Source organism: Homo sapiens, chromosome 12, assembly GCF_000001405.40.
Source record: "Homo sapiens chromosome 12, GRCh38.p14 Primary Assembly".
Lineage (NCBI taxonomy): Eukaryota > Metazoa > Chordata > Mammalia > Primates > Hominidae > Homo > Homo sapiens.
Genome location: NC_000012.12, coordinates 26,407,334 through 26,427,595, shown reverse-complemented (window position 1 = coordinate 26,427,595; position 20,262 = coordinate 26,407,334). Strand labels below are relative to the sequence as shown.

Sequence of the window (20,262 nt, the reverse complement as noted above, 5' to 3'; positions counted from 1 at the left end):
TTAATATTCCAAAGTGACATCGTAAATCATCCAAAAAAGATTAAATTATGTTCAATAGAATTTTGAAAGTGGGCACCTTTCATCAAATGACCTAAGAAAAAGGATTTCTATATGAGAAAATATTAAATTGGGTTCTTTTTATGTGAACAAATTTTATAAACTGATGAAAGTCATAGATAGGATTAATTTTTTGACCGAATTTTGAAATATTAGAATAAGGAAGCACAGAGTAGTAGTATTTCAAAAAGCAAGTGATACATTTATAGAAATAATTTTACCCGAGAAATACAATTTTAAAGGGACTAGCCAACGTTATGCATGGCACAGCCATACAGAGATATTAAAAGGTAAAACCATCAGGCTAATGAAATAACAAATGGCCAGGTAAGAAAATAAGTATTGCTGATCTATGTGTTGAATACCTAGACACTTTCGATCTTTTCCTGGGTTTCTAACATAATGTCCTACATTCTGGTATCTGTAATTAGGACTAGTCTCCCCTACTACATTTTACTATGCTTAAGGATTGATCATTCAGTATCAAGAACATTATAGGTACTCAGTAAATATTTCCTAAATAAATAAATTAATAAGTGAGTGAATGAATGAGTGAACAATTATCTTTGTATTCTTATATATTTACAGGGGCTTGCACATAAAATATATAGCAAATATTTATTTAGTAATAAATATTTAATATTTAGCAAATATTTAATAATAACTAATATTTAACAAATATTTACTTAATAAATAAAATGTATTTATTTTATTTATTTATTAAAATGAATTAATAAAATAGTCAACCAAACTTTCAAGAATTATAAAGCTGAGCTAATATGGCCAATTCTGTATTTCTGTGTTTCTGACCTCTATTTTATTACAATTCTTCGAAAATTAGACATGATGTATTTGACAGCTCCCAATTAGCTAGAACATTCAGGCAACCAAATTACCAATTATCCTCAATCATTGTCAATAAAGGGAAGTGTACTATACCTACAAAGAAGTCTATCAGTAAAGAATTTTGTAAAATACCAAATATATTATTCTGTAAGTTTCTTGAGGGCAGAAGTTGTCACATTTATAAATTTAGCCCTACCTGCCTCACTCCTTCCCAGCTCCATGTTTCTCTACTTTAACAGCTGGCATTGAAACATTCAGAAAATGTTTACATGAACTGAATGTGTACTTTCAATGCCTTGGAAATAAGCTGATTTTACAGTATTACCAACCAAGCAAATTAGAAAATCTTCATGAATTTGTCTAAATTTTTCTAAGCCTATGTGTTTGACTTTTTTTCTTTAAAAACATAAATTGCATATTGAACTATATTATTTGAAGAAGCAAATAATATTTATAAACTGGTAACTGGCCCTCAAGAAGACATGAATCCAAGTGAAAAAAAAATCCAAGTCTGACAAAGTGAAATAATAGCTAGAGATGGGCCAAAAATAATAATCATTTACTGGGCCTCTGTTATATAATAGACACTAAAAATACCAAGACGATAAAGGAAATGGTTCTTGCCATCCAGAAGCTGATGTGTCACACTCACCGATTTGCATTTCCTTTGTTTTTGGACCAAGAATATATAAAGAGATAAGGAATAACATTCTAATGTCTACTGGGGGAAACCAAAGACATTTGGAGCATTTTTTCCCCTCATGGGAGAGGATAAGAAGATAGCTTTTGCCTGGTTTGGTGAAAATAATTCCACTATAGCAAATGACTCTTCATAGAAGAGGCAAGTTTTATATTTCACTTTCTTTATGAGAAAGAATATACATGTAGATATGCAACATCTCTCCTTTATTAACTGTAGAAATCTGTGGGGACTGTAATTGCTTTCACAGCATAGAACATCTGTTTGTACAGTCAAATGATACATTGTGGTCTACCAGCTCAGAGCGTTTTTTTTTTTTTTCTTTTTTAGACAGGGTCTCACTCTGTCGCCCACTGGAGTGCAGTGGCGTGATCTCGGCTCACTGCAACCTCCACCTCCCAGGTTCAAGCGGTTTTCCTGCCTCAGGCTCCTGAGTAGCTGGGGCTATGGGCGCGTGCCACCATGCCTGGCTAATTTTTTGTATTTTTAGTGGAGATGAGGTTTCACCATGTTAGCCAGGATGGTCTTGATCTCCTGACCTCATGATCCACCCGCCTTGGCCTCCCAAAGTGCTGGGATTACATGCGTGAGCCACTGCGCCTGGCCGCTCAGAGCATTTTGACCAAAAAAAAATCAACTTTAATTTGGGACAAACACATTCAGTGGAATAATTGTCATTTTGATATTGTAGATATTGACAAAAAATTTTATCTATAATTTTAATAATATGTGGATTAATAAACATGTTTTAGGTTGGATGCTATGTCATGCCTGTAATCCCAATACTTTGGGAGGCTGAGGCAGGATGATTGCTTGAGGACAGGAGTTTGAGGCCAGTCTGGTCAACATAGTGAGACCTCATCTCTACAAAAAATAAAAAAAAATATTTTAGCGAATATCATCTACCTTCATTTTTAACATAACAAGTTCACTGCTGGGTGCAGTGACTGATGCCTGTAATCCCAGCACTTTGAGAGGCTGAGGTGGGCGGATCACACTAGATCAGGAGTTTGTGACCAGCCTGGTCAACATGGTGAAAACCCTGTCTCTACTAAAAATATAAAAATTAGTATGGCATGATGGTGCGTACCTGTAGTCCCAGCTACTCCAGAGGCTGAGGCCAGAGAATCGCTTGAACCCAGGAGGTAGAGGTTGCACTGAGCTGACATCAGGCCACTGCACTACTGCCTGGGTGACAAAATGGGATTCTGTTTCAAAAACAAAACAAAACAAAAATTAGCTGGTCATGGTGGCTCGTGCCTGTAATCCCAGCTACTCAGGAGGCTGAGGCAGGAGAATCGCTTCAACCCAGGAGGTGGAGGTTGCAGTGAGCCGAGATCGTGCCACTGCACTCCAGCCTGGGTGACAGAGCGAGACTCCATCTCAAAAAAAAAAAAAAAAAAAAACACAAAACGAAAACAAAAACCAAAAAACAAGTTCACTACAAAGCTATCTATGGTTTATCATTACCCAGGAGGTAGGAAATAAATACATGAAAATATCAATTAGTCATATCTTGTACCTTAAGTTTTAGTACATTTATTAACTTAATTTACACTTAAAAGTTTGCATTGTGTAAGAGGTGAAACTATAAGTGCTAAAACTATAGGTATCAGAAATAAGAAAAACAAAAGAAGACATCTACCTGACAATTTTGCCTTAATGACCATCAGAGTTCTACACTTTAGGCAAATCAACAAGACTTTGAATTTCATTCTTCTCATTAGTGAAAGGAAGATACTAAAGCCTGATCTGTCTTCGCTAGGATAGTTGAAAAGATTTAGAAAAGATTAATAATGGTGATAATGATAGGATAGTAACAATGGCAGCTGTTTACCAACTATCTGTAATAATACATGAAGCACCCTTTAATTGTAAAACATTCTTTTTATGGTTGTAAAAATATTTGTGTTTTGGTTCTTGGGGAGTTGTTTCTGGACTCTGTTTTTCACAATGTTAAGCCACTGCAGAAAGTCTTATTTTTGGAAAAGGAATCAAGTGGGAGGAACAGCCTCAACCTGTGTTATAACAACTTAGTACTGGTTTCTGTTTACTATGGTGCTTCTTTTTTATTGTCTTTATTCATTTCTAAAACTAGGAGTTGGTCTAGATTTCAACTAGTTTGCCTTGTCACAGAAGTGATCGCAATATTTGAGATATTTCAAAAAATTCAAGTGTTTTTTTCTCATTATAAAGCACATCTTATAACCCAGTCTAGTTTTCTTCCCTCTGCAATGCACTGTTAGTTTGCATTGGTAATAGAAATTAATATATTATTCTGACAAATATAAGCACATATTTTATAAATTTGGGGTCACTTAATATTCTTTCATACCATTAAAATTATTTGTAAACCTCATTTTAATAACTGTATTATTTCCAGTCATATGGGCGTTATAACCACTCCATTAACTTTTGTTGTTCAGATTTTTAAATAAATAACAATGTAGTAAAATATTACAAAAAGATCTTTTAAACTTCTTACCTACAATGATTTTTCCTTTCTAATAGTACCTGGAAATGTGTAATTCATTTAATAAGTTGGTCTCACCATTTGCAGAGAGAAGGAGCAAATGGAGTTTAGCAGATAGCTAGTCTACTAACAATGAGCCACTGTGTTCAAATTTAATAGGGTAATGTCCCTAGTTACTTACTTGTAGATAGCTTTCTGGGAGGTCTTATGTTACTGCTAATTCGTAAGGTCGAGTTCCACCATATGTTCATTTAACATACACAAATTCAGTGATATATTTGGAGTAAACAACTTTCATTTTCTCTCTCTCTCTCTCCACACACACAGACCTACCCTTTTTCATATAATGTGGTCACTGAATGCTCCTAACTACTTCTAGTTGCAGAAACAGAAAACTGCTCCAACGCTGGGGTTAAAGTATGATGAGATGAATTTAGTAAGAGACACTACCATTTACATGACCTGTGCTTACTGTTCTGTTTTGTCAGCAATTTAAGAGATTTCCAGGGTGATTTTGACTGCATGCAAATTTTGCCTTACACATTGATCTTAGAACCTTGTCCTGCTGTAGATGTAATGCCCCTGAAATGGAGATTTTTGAATCAAACCATCTCATGTTTAGTAAGAAGTTTAACTTACATGGTTGATGAAAATATGGTAATGGAGTTGAAAATCACAAATTCCATTTTACTTTTCAATAAATAAGTAGACAGTCTTTTTTTCTTTATACAATTTATTCCTGTAAAATAGGTCATGTTTTCCCATAGGAACAATGTAAGATGGGGATAGAATTCTTGATCAGGAACAGAGTACCAAATAAGATGAAATGAATAATGTAAAGACAAAGATAAAGCAGCTATAAATGTCTGTGATCAAATAAAATTGTAACATTTAAAGGTATCACACAGAATTCTACAGCTATGAGGGAGCTTAAGGATTGTTCACTTCTAGGCATTTCATTTTATATGTGAGAAAACAAAGTCCTGTAGACACCAGGAGGGTTTACCAAAGCAAGAAATTAGTAGCATAGCCAAGATTGAAACCAGATGACCCGCCTTCTAATTCAGTGTCTTTCTGCTACACTGTACTGTTAAATGTCCTGCAAAGACAGATCAATAACTATAAAGTATATATGAAAACACTACTTTCTTAAATAACTTATTTAACTAATAAATTATCTAATTAAATAGTTAAATTATTCAATAAAGTATTATTATTATTCAATAATAATTATTCAATAATTCAATAATAATTATTGGTTAAATAATTAAGTAGTATTTTCATATATACTTCATAGTTTAACTAATTAGTTAAATTATTTACTAGTTATTTACTAAATTATTAACTAATAAATTAAATATATTAATTAATCATTTAGTAAATAATTAGTAAATAATTTAGTTATTTAGTAATTAGTAATAATTTCATAAATAATTAGCAAATAGATAATTTAATTAAATAAACTTAAGTAAATGTAATGAACTTTAGTATACACTAATTAACAAACAAACATTAATTTTGCTTTTTTTTTTAGAAGACCTATTGGTAAATCATTTGGATGGTGTATTATCATTTTTTAAAGACTGTCCCAAAGCTTGCACTGATGCTGTTTCAATTCCATCCCTTTCCCCACTGTCACACAGTTCACCTCATCCCCAACAAAAACTGTATCAGGGATGGCTTTGAATAATAGACAGAGTAAGAAAAAAATATATAGGACAGTTATGGTCCTTGAAATTGAAATTTGTGTGTTGACTTGAGGAACCTCTTAGCACCAGCTCAGAAGAGCCTTGTGACCATCTTGCCCAGTTTCCTGGGCACACCATCCACTTTTTGTCACCCACATGGACCCTTGCTATAATGGCACTGACAAATGAAGGACTGGTTAGACGATGTCAACTTTTTTATGACATGAAAAGGGAGACTGTTTTAGCAACTTGCTCATTCTTGGCATAAATATTCCAAACTTTCATGGAAAATGCTATATGAAAACAATTTGTAAGTTTCATGAAGAAAGGAGAATTCACAGCTCAACTTCTTTCCCACCCGAATCATTTATTCTTGCACATATTTCCCCTTCATATGAACACTTTAAAACAAAAGCACACCAAGTTCCCTGTTTTTTATCTCAACAGAAATAGGTAGACGCCACTGTCAGTTATCAACTCCACTCCACGTCAAGACTTAGTGAAGAGAACAGGAATCTATTCATCAAGCTCTAGATCAAGGTTCAAAAATGAAACAAAAACCAAAACCTGAAAACAAAGAAGGCAAATCTTTATTTTTCAAGTGAAAATGGCGGAGTCTCTTTTAGGAAGAAATGTGGCCTTGTTTTTGCATTATTTGAGAAATTAAATGTATTATTCTTTTTGAGAATTTAAATTCAGTGTATTTTTTTTCCTCAGTATATGGAGCTTATAAATAGTTTTTCTGCGTAATTTTTATGATTTCATTTGGAGAATTAGAAATCATATAAACAATGTGTCTTAAACATATCATTCGTCTTTCTGAAAACTCACGACTCCAATTATTTATTTTATTTTTATACAACTTATTTCTAATTCATATTGATGAACTCTGGTGGATGAATCAAGGTAAATAGTACACATTTAAATAATGGCATTCAAAACAATTTAAATAATTACTGAATATGACTTCTGGACACTCTCTTTTTCACCATTTTTAGGGGTGTTTATTGTTAAATATGTCATATAGATTAGTATTCTTATATATTTCCTGGGTTTTTAAATAATAATTTCTTACAATATTAAACCTGCTCTTGGGCAGAAAATATAAATACATTCATTATGCTACAGCTATACTTAATAATAGCATAAGATATTGATGATGAAACACTAAACAGTGAAATAAGACATGAATGAAGTGATAACATTGATTATTGAGAGGATACTTAATCAGCAGGGGAGAAATTTAGGAAAGGTTTGGCCTTTTTAGTTGCTATGTTGTTAATTTGGTTGGCTCTTCAAAACATGTAATAGTAACCCATTTCTCACTTCATCTGTATTGATTTGAACTTCAGAAATTGAAAGGAAAAGGTTTTCCAATCCCTCCAATTTTACATCTACTTCAAAGTGTTATGGTCCTTCTTATGTTATTTAAAAATCATTCGATAATTTGTTAATATATATTGAACAAATCAACAATGTTGCAAAGAGCAACCTGTTTTTACAAAGTTAAGATTGGACATTTAAGGACAAATATGGTTCCAGTAGATAACCTAAAGAACTCGGAACAATTAGGAAGAGCAAACTGTAAACCCTTGAAATCTGTAATTCTTTCCTTGATGACTAAGACACAAAATTGGCTCTTTGGTTTGTAATTACTGCAGTGATTCTAGAACTAAATAGATGGTGCTAAGTTTATAAATCAGTGCACACACATCGTTATTATTGCCAAAGGATCTCAGTATAAATTTCTACATTCCAAAATTATGCCACAAAAGGCAGTATGAAATGTGGGTTGAATATAAATACTGTACATAGTCAGAAGCATAATAAACACTCCAAAATGTTTATTGAATTATTATCACACATAGGGCTTAGAAAATACATACATACATTATATTTATTTTAACTCAGGTATATAAGTACATTTATATTTTCTATGTATATAAAATAAATTAAATGCAAAAATAATTTTAATCACTTACTTGTTTAAAATAGTACTCAGTAGACAAAGTCCATGATAAAAACACAAAATCAAGAACAGATCTCTGGACATTTCCTGAAAAGATATTTTCTGTTATATTTACAGCATAATAAAAACATTTTACATATTTACTATAAAAAATATAATAAAAGTAATATTTTTAGGAGTCATTGTATTAAGGACTTCATATGTATTATATCATTTAATCCTCTGAGGGGTTCTATGAGATGGAAATTCTTTTATTCCGGTTTTTCAGAATAAACCATCAAGGCCCTCAGCTGCATGAACTAGGTCACACAACAGTAATGGAAGAGCCAAGATTTAAATCCAGACCTGTCTTGATTGCATAGTCTCTTACCATTCTCTCTCTTCCTGGAACTGCAAAGGATGCAAGTTTTGCATGTATTATGTTTACGTGCCAGTTTGTAAGCAATGCTGAAGACCTACAAAATGAGAAATTATGAAAAAAGTCATGAACTTTATGAATAATAGTTTTCATCCATGTCAAAAAGTCATAGATTTTAATGAATAATTGTTTCATCCATGTCAAAAAGTCATGGACTATGAATAGTAGTTTTCATCCATGTGGGTTTCAGGATAAATAAGACAGTAATCTGTAACCCTTTCCTCCCTTTAGCTTTGTAATAAAATTGTTTTTCTGGTGAGTTTTGTTGGAAATCGTGGCACGTTCACCCGTGGGTACCGAGCAGTCATCCTGGATATGGCCTTTCTCTATCACGTGGCGTATGTCCTGGTTTGCATGCTGGGCCTTTTTGTCCATGAATTCTTCTATAGCTTCCTGGTGAGTACATCTCTATGTGGACAATCACTGCTGAAAAAGTACACAATGCTGCTGCTTCTTATGCCTCTTCCTTTGATTTTTTTTTTTAAGCAAAGCCTGACATTTAGGACAAATTATGTTATTTTTAGAATTTCCTAGGAAAAGCGTGAATTATTATCATTTGTAATCTTTTTTCTTTGGGAAACCACACAGGTGGTGGAGTTCTTTATTTCCTCTTTGAGAAGCAACCAGTCACCCCACCTCTTGACCCAGGCTTCACATGACAAGGGCTGCTTTTGCTTTCAGCCAACTAATATTTCCCTTTACATTTAAAGATTCTCTACAGTGTGGGAGACAAAATAGGGGTATATTTTCTTAGGTACTGAAATCATTGTATTTTATTTATAATATCAAAAATTATGTGTACCTTTAGAATAGCATATAAGTAAAATGAGGGGGATTTAAAAAAACCATCATAGCAAAGAGACAGTTGTTTTAAGAACAGTCTTATAGTTTTTGGTTTAATATGTCCTTGCTGTTAAACTTATCTACATATATTTAACTCATTAAGTGGCTCTTTCAAATTTTTTTCTAAAGGTTACTTTTTAAAAAAATTCTGATTTACCTTCCTATATATGTACTGGTTTATAGCCATAAACCAGGAGAGGAGTCAATATAAATATGTGATAATGTTTTGAAGCTTAAAAAGCACTACCAGGTTACCATCATGATGCCATAGGAACAATTTATTTATCTTTCCAGTTCATAGTTGGCATGCAGTGGAGAGCATTGTCCAATAAGATGATCCCTGAAAACAAGTTAAACATCTAAAAACATTTTGTTGAGGAATTTGCCTGAGTCATGAGGGACAAATCCAGCACCTCCTGCCTCCCTATTATCTAGCACACCGATTTGAGAAGACTGAAATGAGGCCAATTTTCCATATACCCTCAAACATTTGAAAGAGCCACAGTGAAGAGTAGATTTGTCTATTATGTTTTCATATAAACTTATAGGCAGTTAAGTTAGATTATTCAGCAACAGATATTTTTTCCGTTCTAACAATCTAAATGAATTCTTTTTGCCCTGATTCACCAGAAAAAGTTCATTTTTTAACCAGTCAGTGATACATAAAGTCCTATTATACCCAGCACTTTTACCTGACTGACATGTAATATTCTATAATTTTTAAACCACTTTACTGAAGTATAGCTGACATACAGAAAGCTATACCCATTTAATGTATGCAATTTGATGAGTTTATAATACTTTTGTGCTCAACTTTCTTGTTTATAAAATGGATAGGAATATCAAGATCCATTAAACAGATGTGTTAGTCCGTTCTCACACTGCTATGAATATACTACCTGAGACTGAGTAATTTATAAACAAAAGAGGTTTAATTGATTCACAGTTCCACATGGCTGGGGAGGCCTAAGGAAACTTACAATCATGGTGGAAGGTGAAGGGGAAGCAAGGCATGTCTTACATGGTGGCAGAAGAGAGAGAGGAGAGCACGGGGGAAACTGCCACTTTTAAAACCATCAGATCTCCAGAGAACTCCCTCACCGTCTCAAGAACAGCATGAGGGAAACCACCCCCATGATCCAATCACCTCCCACCAGGTCCTTCCCTTGACACATGGCGATTACAATTCGAGATGAAATTTGGGTGGAGACACAGAGCCAAACCATATCAGATAATATGAAAAACATGTGAAATGATGTACACATGTTTATGTTTTTATTAACCCCATTTTCTAATTGTATTTTCCTCTGGTCTTTTATCTTTCAAATCTTACAATATTGATGGTAGTTTGTTTTTAGTGGGTTGGTTCTGAAAAGGATATAGTCCATTTTGATGTTTAGAGGACTAGAAGAAAATTGTGGTATACATGATATCAAAAATCGTATGTAAGTATATTTTTAAAAGATTTTTTATATTTGAAAAAATATTTGAATATTCCCTGTTGTACCCACAATTGTCAGTCTTTTATCCAGAATAATAAAAACCACACTCTAGATTTTGTTTTCAGAAATAAATGGAAAGAACAATCAGCTTGCCCAATGTCAACAGCTTTTGTAAGATTCTGATTCCATGGGCCTAGAACGGAACCCAGGCATATGCATTTTTAGCAAGCATCCCAGGAGCTCCTGAAAGCTGTAAACGTTCTCTAGAGCTGACCTACAGCACATTGCCAGATTTTTTTTTCTTTAAACCTCAGCTGAGTTGACTTAAAGAAAAATCTCGACTATGTCAACTTACTGCTTAAATAAATTTAATAAGCCACAGTGTTGACAATTTGGAAGTTGAATGTGCATTAGTTAATTTGTCTGTACTGAAGAATATTGACTTCATTTCTAAAGCTGGCTGCTCCTTCCAGGAGGTAAATAGATTGCAAAATAGACTTTTAAAAAATTTAACCATCGTAAAATAGCAGTTTCCATAGGTGAGCAAACAAGTTAATATCTAGTCAGCAATTATTTGCAAGACTACAATTAAATTGGACAGTAACTGTATAACCCTCAGTACTCAGAAAAAAAATAGACAAGGTCCTGAAAGGGTATATGACACATAATTGATCATTTCAGCCAGTTCAGAAACTCTAATTACTGCCCACAGATAGAAGACAAACCTCAATTATTCCAATTTTAAAAATACTATTCATTTCCAAACAGATATTTATACCTTTCTAAAAGTGAATGTGATTTTATTGCATTTAACCAGATTTTAATAATAAAACACATACTTTCTAATGTATAATTTCAACTTTATAATGTAGCAATAAATAAAATTGTCCTTAGTGTCTACACAGATTGCAAACACATAGCTTGACTAGTGCATAGATTTTCTACTACTGAAGACAAAATAGGTAGTAACCTATTAGAGAAAATCAATTAGCAATGTACATATTATATTTTTGTTTATACTTCCATTTCCAAAAGTATATACTAAAGTAATAGGTTTTTTTCCTCATTATACCCTGTTACTAAGGAAGGATGTTTGCATTTCCCAAATAGTTTTATATTTCATACTTTTCCGGCTGCATCAGACTCATGAAACTGTTCTTACAATTTCACCTCTAATCCCTTGATTAAGTAATACATTTAATGAATTTGTCAATTGTTCATCACTCAGGAGGACCTAATTCAGCATTCTCACTTAAGCCATTTTACATATTCCAGAAGTAACTGCAGAATATCAGTAAGACCAAAAATAAAGAATAAGTGAATAAGTAGCTAAGCTGGTAAAGTACAATGTAACTTTTCTGAATTCAAATGTAAAACTAAGCTATTTCTGTAATGTTTTAGTAAATTGATATTATGTTGGTTTTGAAACCAACAGATGCACATTATATGTTGTGCTAGATGTATCTTTATAGAAAAACAATTTATTAATATATTCCAGCTGGAGAAGAAATAAATACTTTGGTTCATTTTAAGGTGGTTTAGGTTATTTCTTTATATATAAACTAGAATGGCTTGCATTTGTATTTGTAATTATATTTTTGTTTGTTCACCTTTTCCTCCAATGCCTTCTTTTCTTATTAGTGTTTTCTTTATCTTTGTAGCTTTTTGATTTGGTGTACAGGGAAGAGACTTTGCTGAATGTCATAAAAAGTGTCACACGAAATGGCCGCTCTATTATTCTAACTGCAGTCCTGGCTCTCATCCTCGTCTACCTGTTTTCCATTATTGGGTTCCTTTTTTTGAAGGATGACTTCACTATGGAAGTTGATAGGCTGAAAAACCGAACTCCTGTTACAGGTATTGCTATTACCACTAAATGAGGTTTCTCTGATGGCAGATATGACTTGTGTGTAGCTTGTTAACAGGATCATAGATAAACACGAATAGAGGAAATGTTTTCTTTTATTCCTTTGAGAATATGTTTTGTTTACTACTAAGAGTCAGGAATGTGAAGTACTCTTAGGCTGTATATTAGCTGTCAATGTGTATAGGGAAATACTTACATGAGAAACACCATCCCAGCTCAGTCTCGGTAAGAAAGTTTCAATAAAGCTGACTATATTCCAAAAGATAGTCAACAACTTCAGTGCAGGATAATAACTTTAAAAATCTTTTCCTCCTCTTTTTCCCTGTCTCCCCAAAAATAACAGCTAGCATCATTCACAATCATTATTCCATACATGTTTGATCATAGTGTATCATATTATACTTAAATAACTGAAAATGATAAATGCTTTGATTTGAAACCACCAGATCATAAGAAATTTGCTCAAAATATTGAGCAAAAGAAGGAAGACATGCTCAAAATATTGGGATTAATGGACCAAATCTATCAGTGTGTGACTTTCAGAATTTCTATACTCTATTTTTGTCGTGACTGGTTAGGCACCGTCCATTTATAATCAGTGTGATTCCTGTGGTGTTAGGCTTTATTCTCTCCATGTTATTTTGATTTTTTTATTTATTAAGCTTTCTAAAGTGTTTTTCTCCCTTTCCTACCTTGTGTTGTTTTGGTTAAGCTTCTGAAGTTTATTATTCTTTTTCCTCCTCCCCTGCTTTGCTGGGTAGAAATCATAGTTCTGCACTTTGCTAATGGTTTCTCTGGGTGATTCTGCCGACTATGGGTTGTAGAGAATGGAAACCAAAATATGACACTCTTTCTCCTCAAACCGTTAAATGTAAAACTAGGATTTAATTAGTGATGCCTTGCAAATGGTATTCTGTCTTGCCTTTAACAAACATTTCTTAATTACTAAATTGACGATATATGGTAGTACTTAGATTATGGCACTTAAGTCTATTAGTAAGTCTCAGTCATCAAAGCACAGAATGGAAACATCATATATGTGGACTGGAAGTTATTAAACTTGAGACTGTCCTGAATTTTATACCTAGGTATTAGTCTTTATTCACAGGAACATAGAGTATTTTCTGTTACTGTCTTTCTTGTTCTTCTTCCTTAAATGTTACTTTTCCCAGAGTTTTACAGGTATAAATATGGGGACTTGTGTTTGTGTGTGTGTGTGTGTGTGTGTGTGTGTGTGTGTGTACATATATACATGTAGACTATCTGCTTCCCAAAACCTCCACATTAATTACTTACTAGATTTGAGGCATGATGACACTGAGTAACTCAGTACAGATTGAGTCTAAAGCTGAATCGTAATTTATGAATTCAAAATGTGTGCAGTAGTTATTGTCTTACAAATCAAGTGGTAAATATTTTGTGCTATTTAAAAAGTAACTTGGTTATCATTGTGTTATGAACATAAATATTTTCTTTGGAAAAATGCCTTTTTTCTTTTTTTGTTTTTTACAAAATGGGCAGCAGTAGACCAGAAGTTTCAAGCTCTTTACTTAAAAATATTTATACACATTCATATAGAATGCTGTTCAATAAAGCTTTTATAAATACTATGAAAACCCAGCATATGGGGACAGTTAACAAAGTTAAACCCTTGATTATTCATATATTAAGAGTGTTTGTTTCATAGACTGAGATTATACATGACATGATGCCCTAGGAAAAACACCCTTGTTTTCATAATATTTCAAATTTCATTTCTAATGCCGCATATTGTCTCTATTGATACATAGTGCTAAGTTTATTCTTTCATGTATTGGACACTATTTACTTGCAAAGTTGACTATGTATATTGAGTGACATTATTGAGGACACCCCTGGGTAGCCAGTGAAATTTGGAGTGCAGAGAAATATGCAACTCTGTAGCGAATGAGAAGAAAAGATCAGAAAATCAGTTGGTGGGAGCAATGAGGGGAGGTTGAGTTCTAAAGCTGAATGGTAAAGCCATCACAGGGCCCTGTGAGAATAGAGGACGGGTAATTGGCAAATGCCATTGCAAACGCAGATCCTGCCTGCAGGACCAGAGGAATCTGGGTTGATAGATGAAGTAGCTGCCACTTGAGCAATGTTCAGAAAATTGGTGTCTTAGAAAAGTCTGTGAACTTAGAGAGAAGGATCTGTTGAGAAGTGGAGGTGACAGTTTCTCTCACCCACACCTGTCCCTCTTCCCCATTTTCAGCGCCATCCTCCTGTTTCTCACCCTTCTGTTTCTCACCTTCATTTCCACTCACCCAGAATTCTGCTGGAGCCACCTATGTGGCTTCCCCACCTATAGCCTCTCTTCTGCCTGCCCAAATTACTCATTCCAACCATAGCTCTCACTGTCTCTCATTGGTTCACAGCCTTTAGATCTGCACTGGATGTGGGGTTCTTGGTTTAAAGTAGTGGCTGGTAGCTCTGGTCACTCTGACTGGTCCATGCCTTCATTGGCCTCTGCGCCTTTTGTCAGACAAATTGTACCTGGAATCACCCCCTTTGCTCCCTGCCTTACCTTGATGAATCTAAGTCCTATGACTCCTTTAGATGGACCCTTTTCCAAAAAGCTTTCTGGGTTTTTTTCCCCCTCCTAGAATTCACTTCTTCCTCCTCTAATGTATTACATTAAAAAAGAAATCTGTACTTCACTCTCTCCAGTCAATTATAATTGTGTCTATATCTCTCTATGTCCTCTAGCTAACTGTTGTTCTTCCAGGCCTCAGCTCTGGGCCTGGGGGGCCTAGCAGGATGCTTCAGTAAGTATTAAGTAAGGGAATGGCCACAGGGCACACTCTTCTCTCACTTTCTGACCCCCCACACCCGCACACCCTCAACTCAGGATTAATGGGGATGTGCCCACCCTCAGGGGATGGAGGTAAATCTGTGTCTGGGGAGGACACTAGCTCTCTCAGCTCCAGTGTTTGTGTGGCTGGCAACCCCAGCCTCACTCTGCCTCCTCCTCCTCATGTTTCCTTCAAACTCCAGCTTTCCTTTGCCATTTCTACCCCATCTCAGCTGATTAGTCACAGTCAGGGTAATCATGGTGTGGCATTGCTGGGAAATGCACTTCAATACTGCTACAGCCTTTGTAGCTACAACTGGACCTACCCTTGTCTCTCCATCATGAAGACTTCCCTCGATGGCTCTATGGGAAAAATAGGTTTGAGAGGAACCTCTTTACTTCATATGTGTTACTAACAAAAACAACATTTAAAAAAATAAAACGTTGTTTCATACAAATAGGAGGGTTACTATTTTCTATTCTATTCTGTGTCAGGGAAATAGGTGGTGAGCCAGGAAGCAGATGGATTCCTGGGGACTATGGAAGAATAGAAGATCCTGAACACAGATCTGGCAGAAGATTTTTGCTCCCCAAGGCATATGATGCCCTTAGTTCCCTAGAGCCTGTACCTGACTGTTAGAACCACTACCAGCAGCAGTCCCTGCCTCAGTTGTAGGGACGAGTGGCTTAGGGCTCAGGGACTGCCAACTGCACTGAGGGGAATATGTTCCTGGCATCCCAAGTCAGAACCCTGAATGAGTTTGCCCATGGAAACATTATTACACATGGATGTAAAGGTCTACAGTATTAATACTTTATCTCAACCACTTAAAAAAGGTATAAAAGGCTTTTAGTGGGTTGGCCTATGAAGCTATTCTCCATTTATAAAATTGCTTCAATAGGCAAAACTGTGTTCAGAATTCCATACTAACTTCCTAGGACTTTAGGAACACAGCTAAGTTGGAGTATGAATGCCTTTAATTTACATATCTTTAGAACTGTAGGTTCAGTTTTCATCATGTGCATATTTGACTCTATATTATATACTACTTTGTATTTTCTTAGGCAGTCATCAAGTGCCTACTATGACTTTAACTACCATGATGGAAGCATGTGCCAAGGAGAACTGTTCACCCACAATTCCAGCTTCAAATACAGGTTTGTAGAAAGGACTCTGGGTCAGTATGAACTTGATATCTTTGAAGTTTTATTTAGTAAATATTATTACCTCTTAGGGAATTGCTCTACAAATTTCATGATGGATTGAAATAGAAGAATAGAGAGTAAAAGAACCAAGATGATTTGAACAGGAGAAAGGATTCCCACATTGGTCATTTTGTACCCCTCTCCTGTTCGTTATATTGTTTCTATTCAGGAGGATTTAGCACATTTACCCTGTGGTATGTGCTGCTGAAGATTCTATTACCATATTGCAAACCACACTAAGTGAGTCCCTTTTAGCTGTGTAGCCTTTCACACAGGATCGGGAAGAGTATGGGCTTATAATTCAAAAGACTTGGTAATAATCCTGGACTTGACAGTCTCTAGCTCTATGTCTTGGACAAGTTATGCAAATTTCCTGGACTTTGTTCAGATGACTTGCCTGCCTATCTCTCTCTCTCTAGAGAGAGAATGAGAATGAAACTTTCCCTGCCTCCACAGGATCAAATGGAACCATACATATAAAAATAATAATTCTTTAAACTCTGAATTGATCTCATAGGATGTGGCAGGCTGGAAACTATGGCATGTGTCATATATAAGGAACTGTAGAAGAAATTAGTGACCTGTTTCCTGAAGCAGCAAAGATTTAGGGAGTGTATGTCTTCAAATATCTTAAGGGTTGTCATATACAAAAAGGAGCAGATTTAGTAGGAGTTGATGTGTTGTATCTACAGAGGGCAAAGTTAGACTTAGGACAGATAAGGGAAGAAAGAGTTAAGCATAGTGTAGGTGCGGAGTTCCCCAGTTTCCATCTGGGACCACACTGTTTGTCTGGTCATAATGATAGTGCTTTCTTTCCTAAACGGCCTTTTCCTTGAGATGTTGGACTATTGCTTGAGGAATAATGAATAGACCCTTCTACTGACTAAATATTTTATGCTTCTTGACCTAAAGAGAGAATTAAGCACATGAATACATTCCATCCAGTGTCCCAGCAGCCATAGGCACTGTGGGCAGCCGTCACCAGCACTTCTCTCCCCTGCCGCCTGCTCTCCCAGTCAAGGCTCACAATAAGAACCAGCTCATTCTTGACTCGTATAGCATTATTGTGCTCTGCAGTTTCTAAAATCCTGCTATTTGCATCCTCCAATCTAAACACCTCCGATTTCTTCAGCTTTCCTCACATACTATAACAGTGAGTACTGCCATGACACTCCAGGGCAAGCAGTTGAAAAGTGCTGTCTTGTTCTGGATACTGGAGTTTAGAACCACATCACACTCTTGATCCATATTTGGCTGACTCTTGGCTAAAATGCCATTCTTCACTGGTTCAGCTGTCATGTCATAAACAGCCACCCTGTTCTCATATAATTAGGAGTTTGGGATTTCAAATAGAAGCCCATGCATTTTTTTTCTACATATTTCTGCCAGCCCATAATCCCAGGTCGTCGCAATTTGACCAGTGAATAGACAGGAGGTCTTTGCCCGGAAGATCTCTCGGTTTCAGGTCCCTTCCAGTTCTAATGTGCCATGAGCCTCATGGTGTCCGTATGGATCCTGATTCTGTCAAGCAATATATTTATTCTCCTTCATGTCCTCAAGTTTGATACACCCTTGAACAGAGGGTGGCAAACTATGTCCCATGGGAAAATATGACTTGCTCTAGTTTTATACAGCCGTTGAGCTAAGAATGATTGTAAATTTTTTTTTTCAAGAAAAACATGTGATGGAAACTGTATGTAAGCCTAAGATAGTTGGCATCTGGCTACAGAAATTTTTTTTTTGCCAACCTCTGTTCTAGAAGATTTCCATTAAGGGTGCCAGAAATGCATAGGACAGCAATGCAGTGCTAAGCACTAGAACATGCTCTCACATGGACATGGTTGCATTTTGTGCAATTCTTCAGTTGCATAGAAATCTCTCTTAAAGAAACTGTTAACATCATTCCGCCCATGTTGCTCTATCTTTTTTCAAAGGATATCATGAGACTTTTTATCAAAGACTTTTTGCCAAAGCCCAGATACATGATGTCTGCTACTTTTCTAATTTGAGGTTAGTCTGAACGTGTACTGAATGCACTGATAGTGTGGGTTAGTCCTAACTCACACTGTCTCTTTAGTGATCCACTTTAGTATCTTGTCTTGGTGTCAAACAGCATTTTTCAGCAGCTTGCAGAGTCTGTCACAGTCTCAAATTCAGGTCTACAGGTGTCCCTCATTTTCCATCATTATCCATGACTTTTTAAAAAATCACTTTTTAAAAAGAGACATTTTGAAAACTTGAACATAGTTGAAATAGCTGGGTAAAATTAAATGACTCCTGGGATCTCTTTGGCCACCTCAAAGTTCAGATTATTGTCATCAGTATTTATTTCTCTTTTAATTCAACATTTCCCCCCTTAACAGAGTATGAAAAATAATATGTTAAAAAGTTTATTATTAACACAAATATTTTATTGTAACAACATGGTTCCAAGTATCAGTGGCCCTATGCTTGCATTGGTCTTCTATCTCTGAATATTTCTTTAATATTGTTTCCTTTATTTTAAAGCAAATATACTTTAACTGTGGTTTGATTTCAAGACAAAATATTGCTTTGCTAGTGAACCAGCAACAAAGCTAGTACTTGTTGTTCCAGAGTATACAAAGAGGGCTGACTCAGTGGGCCCAGAAGAGGATCTGAGTCTCACCCACAGCGTGGTAGCCAGGGCTCCCAAGGCACAGAGAGAGAGAACTGCCAGGGCCACTCTCCTAGAATGAGGTCTTCCAGGTCATTCATAGTGTGAGACTCTCCCAGGATGGTTGGCTGCCCAGCTCTGTGTAATCCTGTAAATGTTAGGCTTTATACAACTCCCCAGGCATGATTGTTGATGCTCAACCAAATGGTCTATTGTAATTATTTCATACGTTATTACTATTGTGACATTTTGATCTTAAAATTTAAAAAGTAAATATTTTTAGAAAACGGGAGAGTAGTTAAGTCTATTCAGTACAAACCTTGATGATGAGGATGATAATATAATAAAAGCCTTGTGTATTCATTCCTTCATTCATTTTTTCACATAGTTATATTTGTTGAGCCTCTACTCTGGGCCAGTCACCATGCTAGCTGTTGAGGACACAGTGTTGAATAAACAAACATGATTCTGGCCTTTATAGAACTTACAGTAAGGGAAACATAAAAAGTTATAAGATAAGGTGAGTATTACTAACAGTGGTATGACTGATCATCACAATAGAGATTGGCTGTTGGGAGATTAGACAGAGAGACCTTTCTAAGAGGAATTACTTAAGTTGAGACTTGGAGGATGAGAAGGAGCTAGTCAGGCCGAGAGGAGGGAGAAGTGTGTTCTGGCCACATGGAACATCTGAGAGTGAACGCCCTGAGACATGTTCAAGGACCTGGAGAAGGCTTACTCATTTCAGGTACTGTGCTGAGCGCATTGTGTGCATTATGTCACTTAATTATCACAACAACCCTGTGAGATAGATAGATACTACTAGTTATCCTTACATTTTCGGTAGGGACCCTAAGGAAAGAGGCATTAAATAAGTTGCCAAGATCACAGCTAGTCAGTCAATGTATATCAACATAGATTTCAAAGCTTATATTCCAACCTTCTGTCTTATTGCCTCCTAATTAAAAGATCACTATAAATTATTTCTTCCCTAACCAAAATTTGAGATCATTTCATTTCACTGAGTATGTTTGGATAGATTTTTTTAAGCCTTTCTTTATACCTACTAAAGACAATTTCTTGAATATAAATATTCTCTGTTACGTATTTATGAACTGGAGTTGATTTTGTCCCCACCCCTACCCCAACCCCCCAGGGACATCTGACAATGTCTAGAGACATGTCTGTTGTCACAACTGGGATGGGGTGCTACTAGCATCTAGTGGGTAGAGGACAGGGATGCTACTAAGCATCCCACATTGCACAGGACAGTCCACAACAAAGAATCATCTAGCCCAAAATA

General features: G+C 35.5%; 1 protein-coding gene and 1 long non-coding RNA gene across 7 annotated transcripts in view; one reads left to right on the top strand and one right to left on the bottom strand.

Moving 5' to 3' along the window:
- Positions 1 to 20,262, top strand: part of ITPR2 (inositol 1,4,5-trisphosphate receptor type 2) — a 497,843-nt gene that overhangs the window by 405,599 nt on the left and 71,982 nt on the right. For all 6 annotated transcript variants that reach the window (XR_001748686.3, NM_001414174.1, NM_001414175.1 and 3 more), the window contains 3 exons: positions 8,383 to 8,547; positions 12,098 to 12,293; positions 16,184 to 16,276. Coding sequence is in view for 5 of the 6 variants with exons in the window: in NM_001414174.1 (NP_001401103.1) it covers positions 8,383 to 8,547; positions 12,098 to 12,293; positions 16,184 to 16,276 (454 nt within the window). In the remaining variant the exon portion in view is untranslated. The remainder of the gene's footprint in view (positions 1 to 8,382; positions 8,548 to 12,097; positions 12,294 to 16,183; positions 16,277 to 20,262) is intronic.
- The window catches only part of ITPR2-AS2 (ITPR2 antisense RNA 2), a 103,881-nt gene continuing 88,410 nt past the window's right edge, over positions 4,792 to 20,262 (bottom strand). The window contains exons 4-6 of the long non-coding RNA NR_199072.1: positions 8,104 to 8,188; positions 7,747 to 7,820; positions 4,792 to 6,331 (exon numbers count right to left, since the gene is read on the bottom strand). This is a non-coding gene — a long non-coding RNA (ITPR2 antisense RNA 2). The remainder of the gene's footprint in view (positions 6,332 to 7,746; positions 7,821 to 8,103; positions 8,189 to 20,262) is intronic.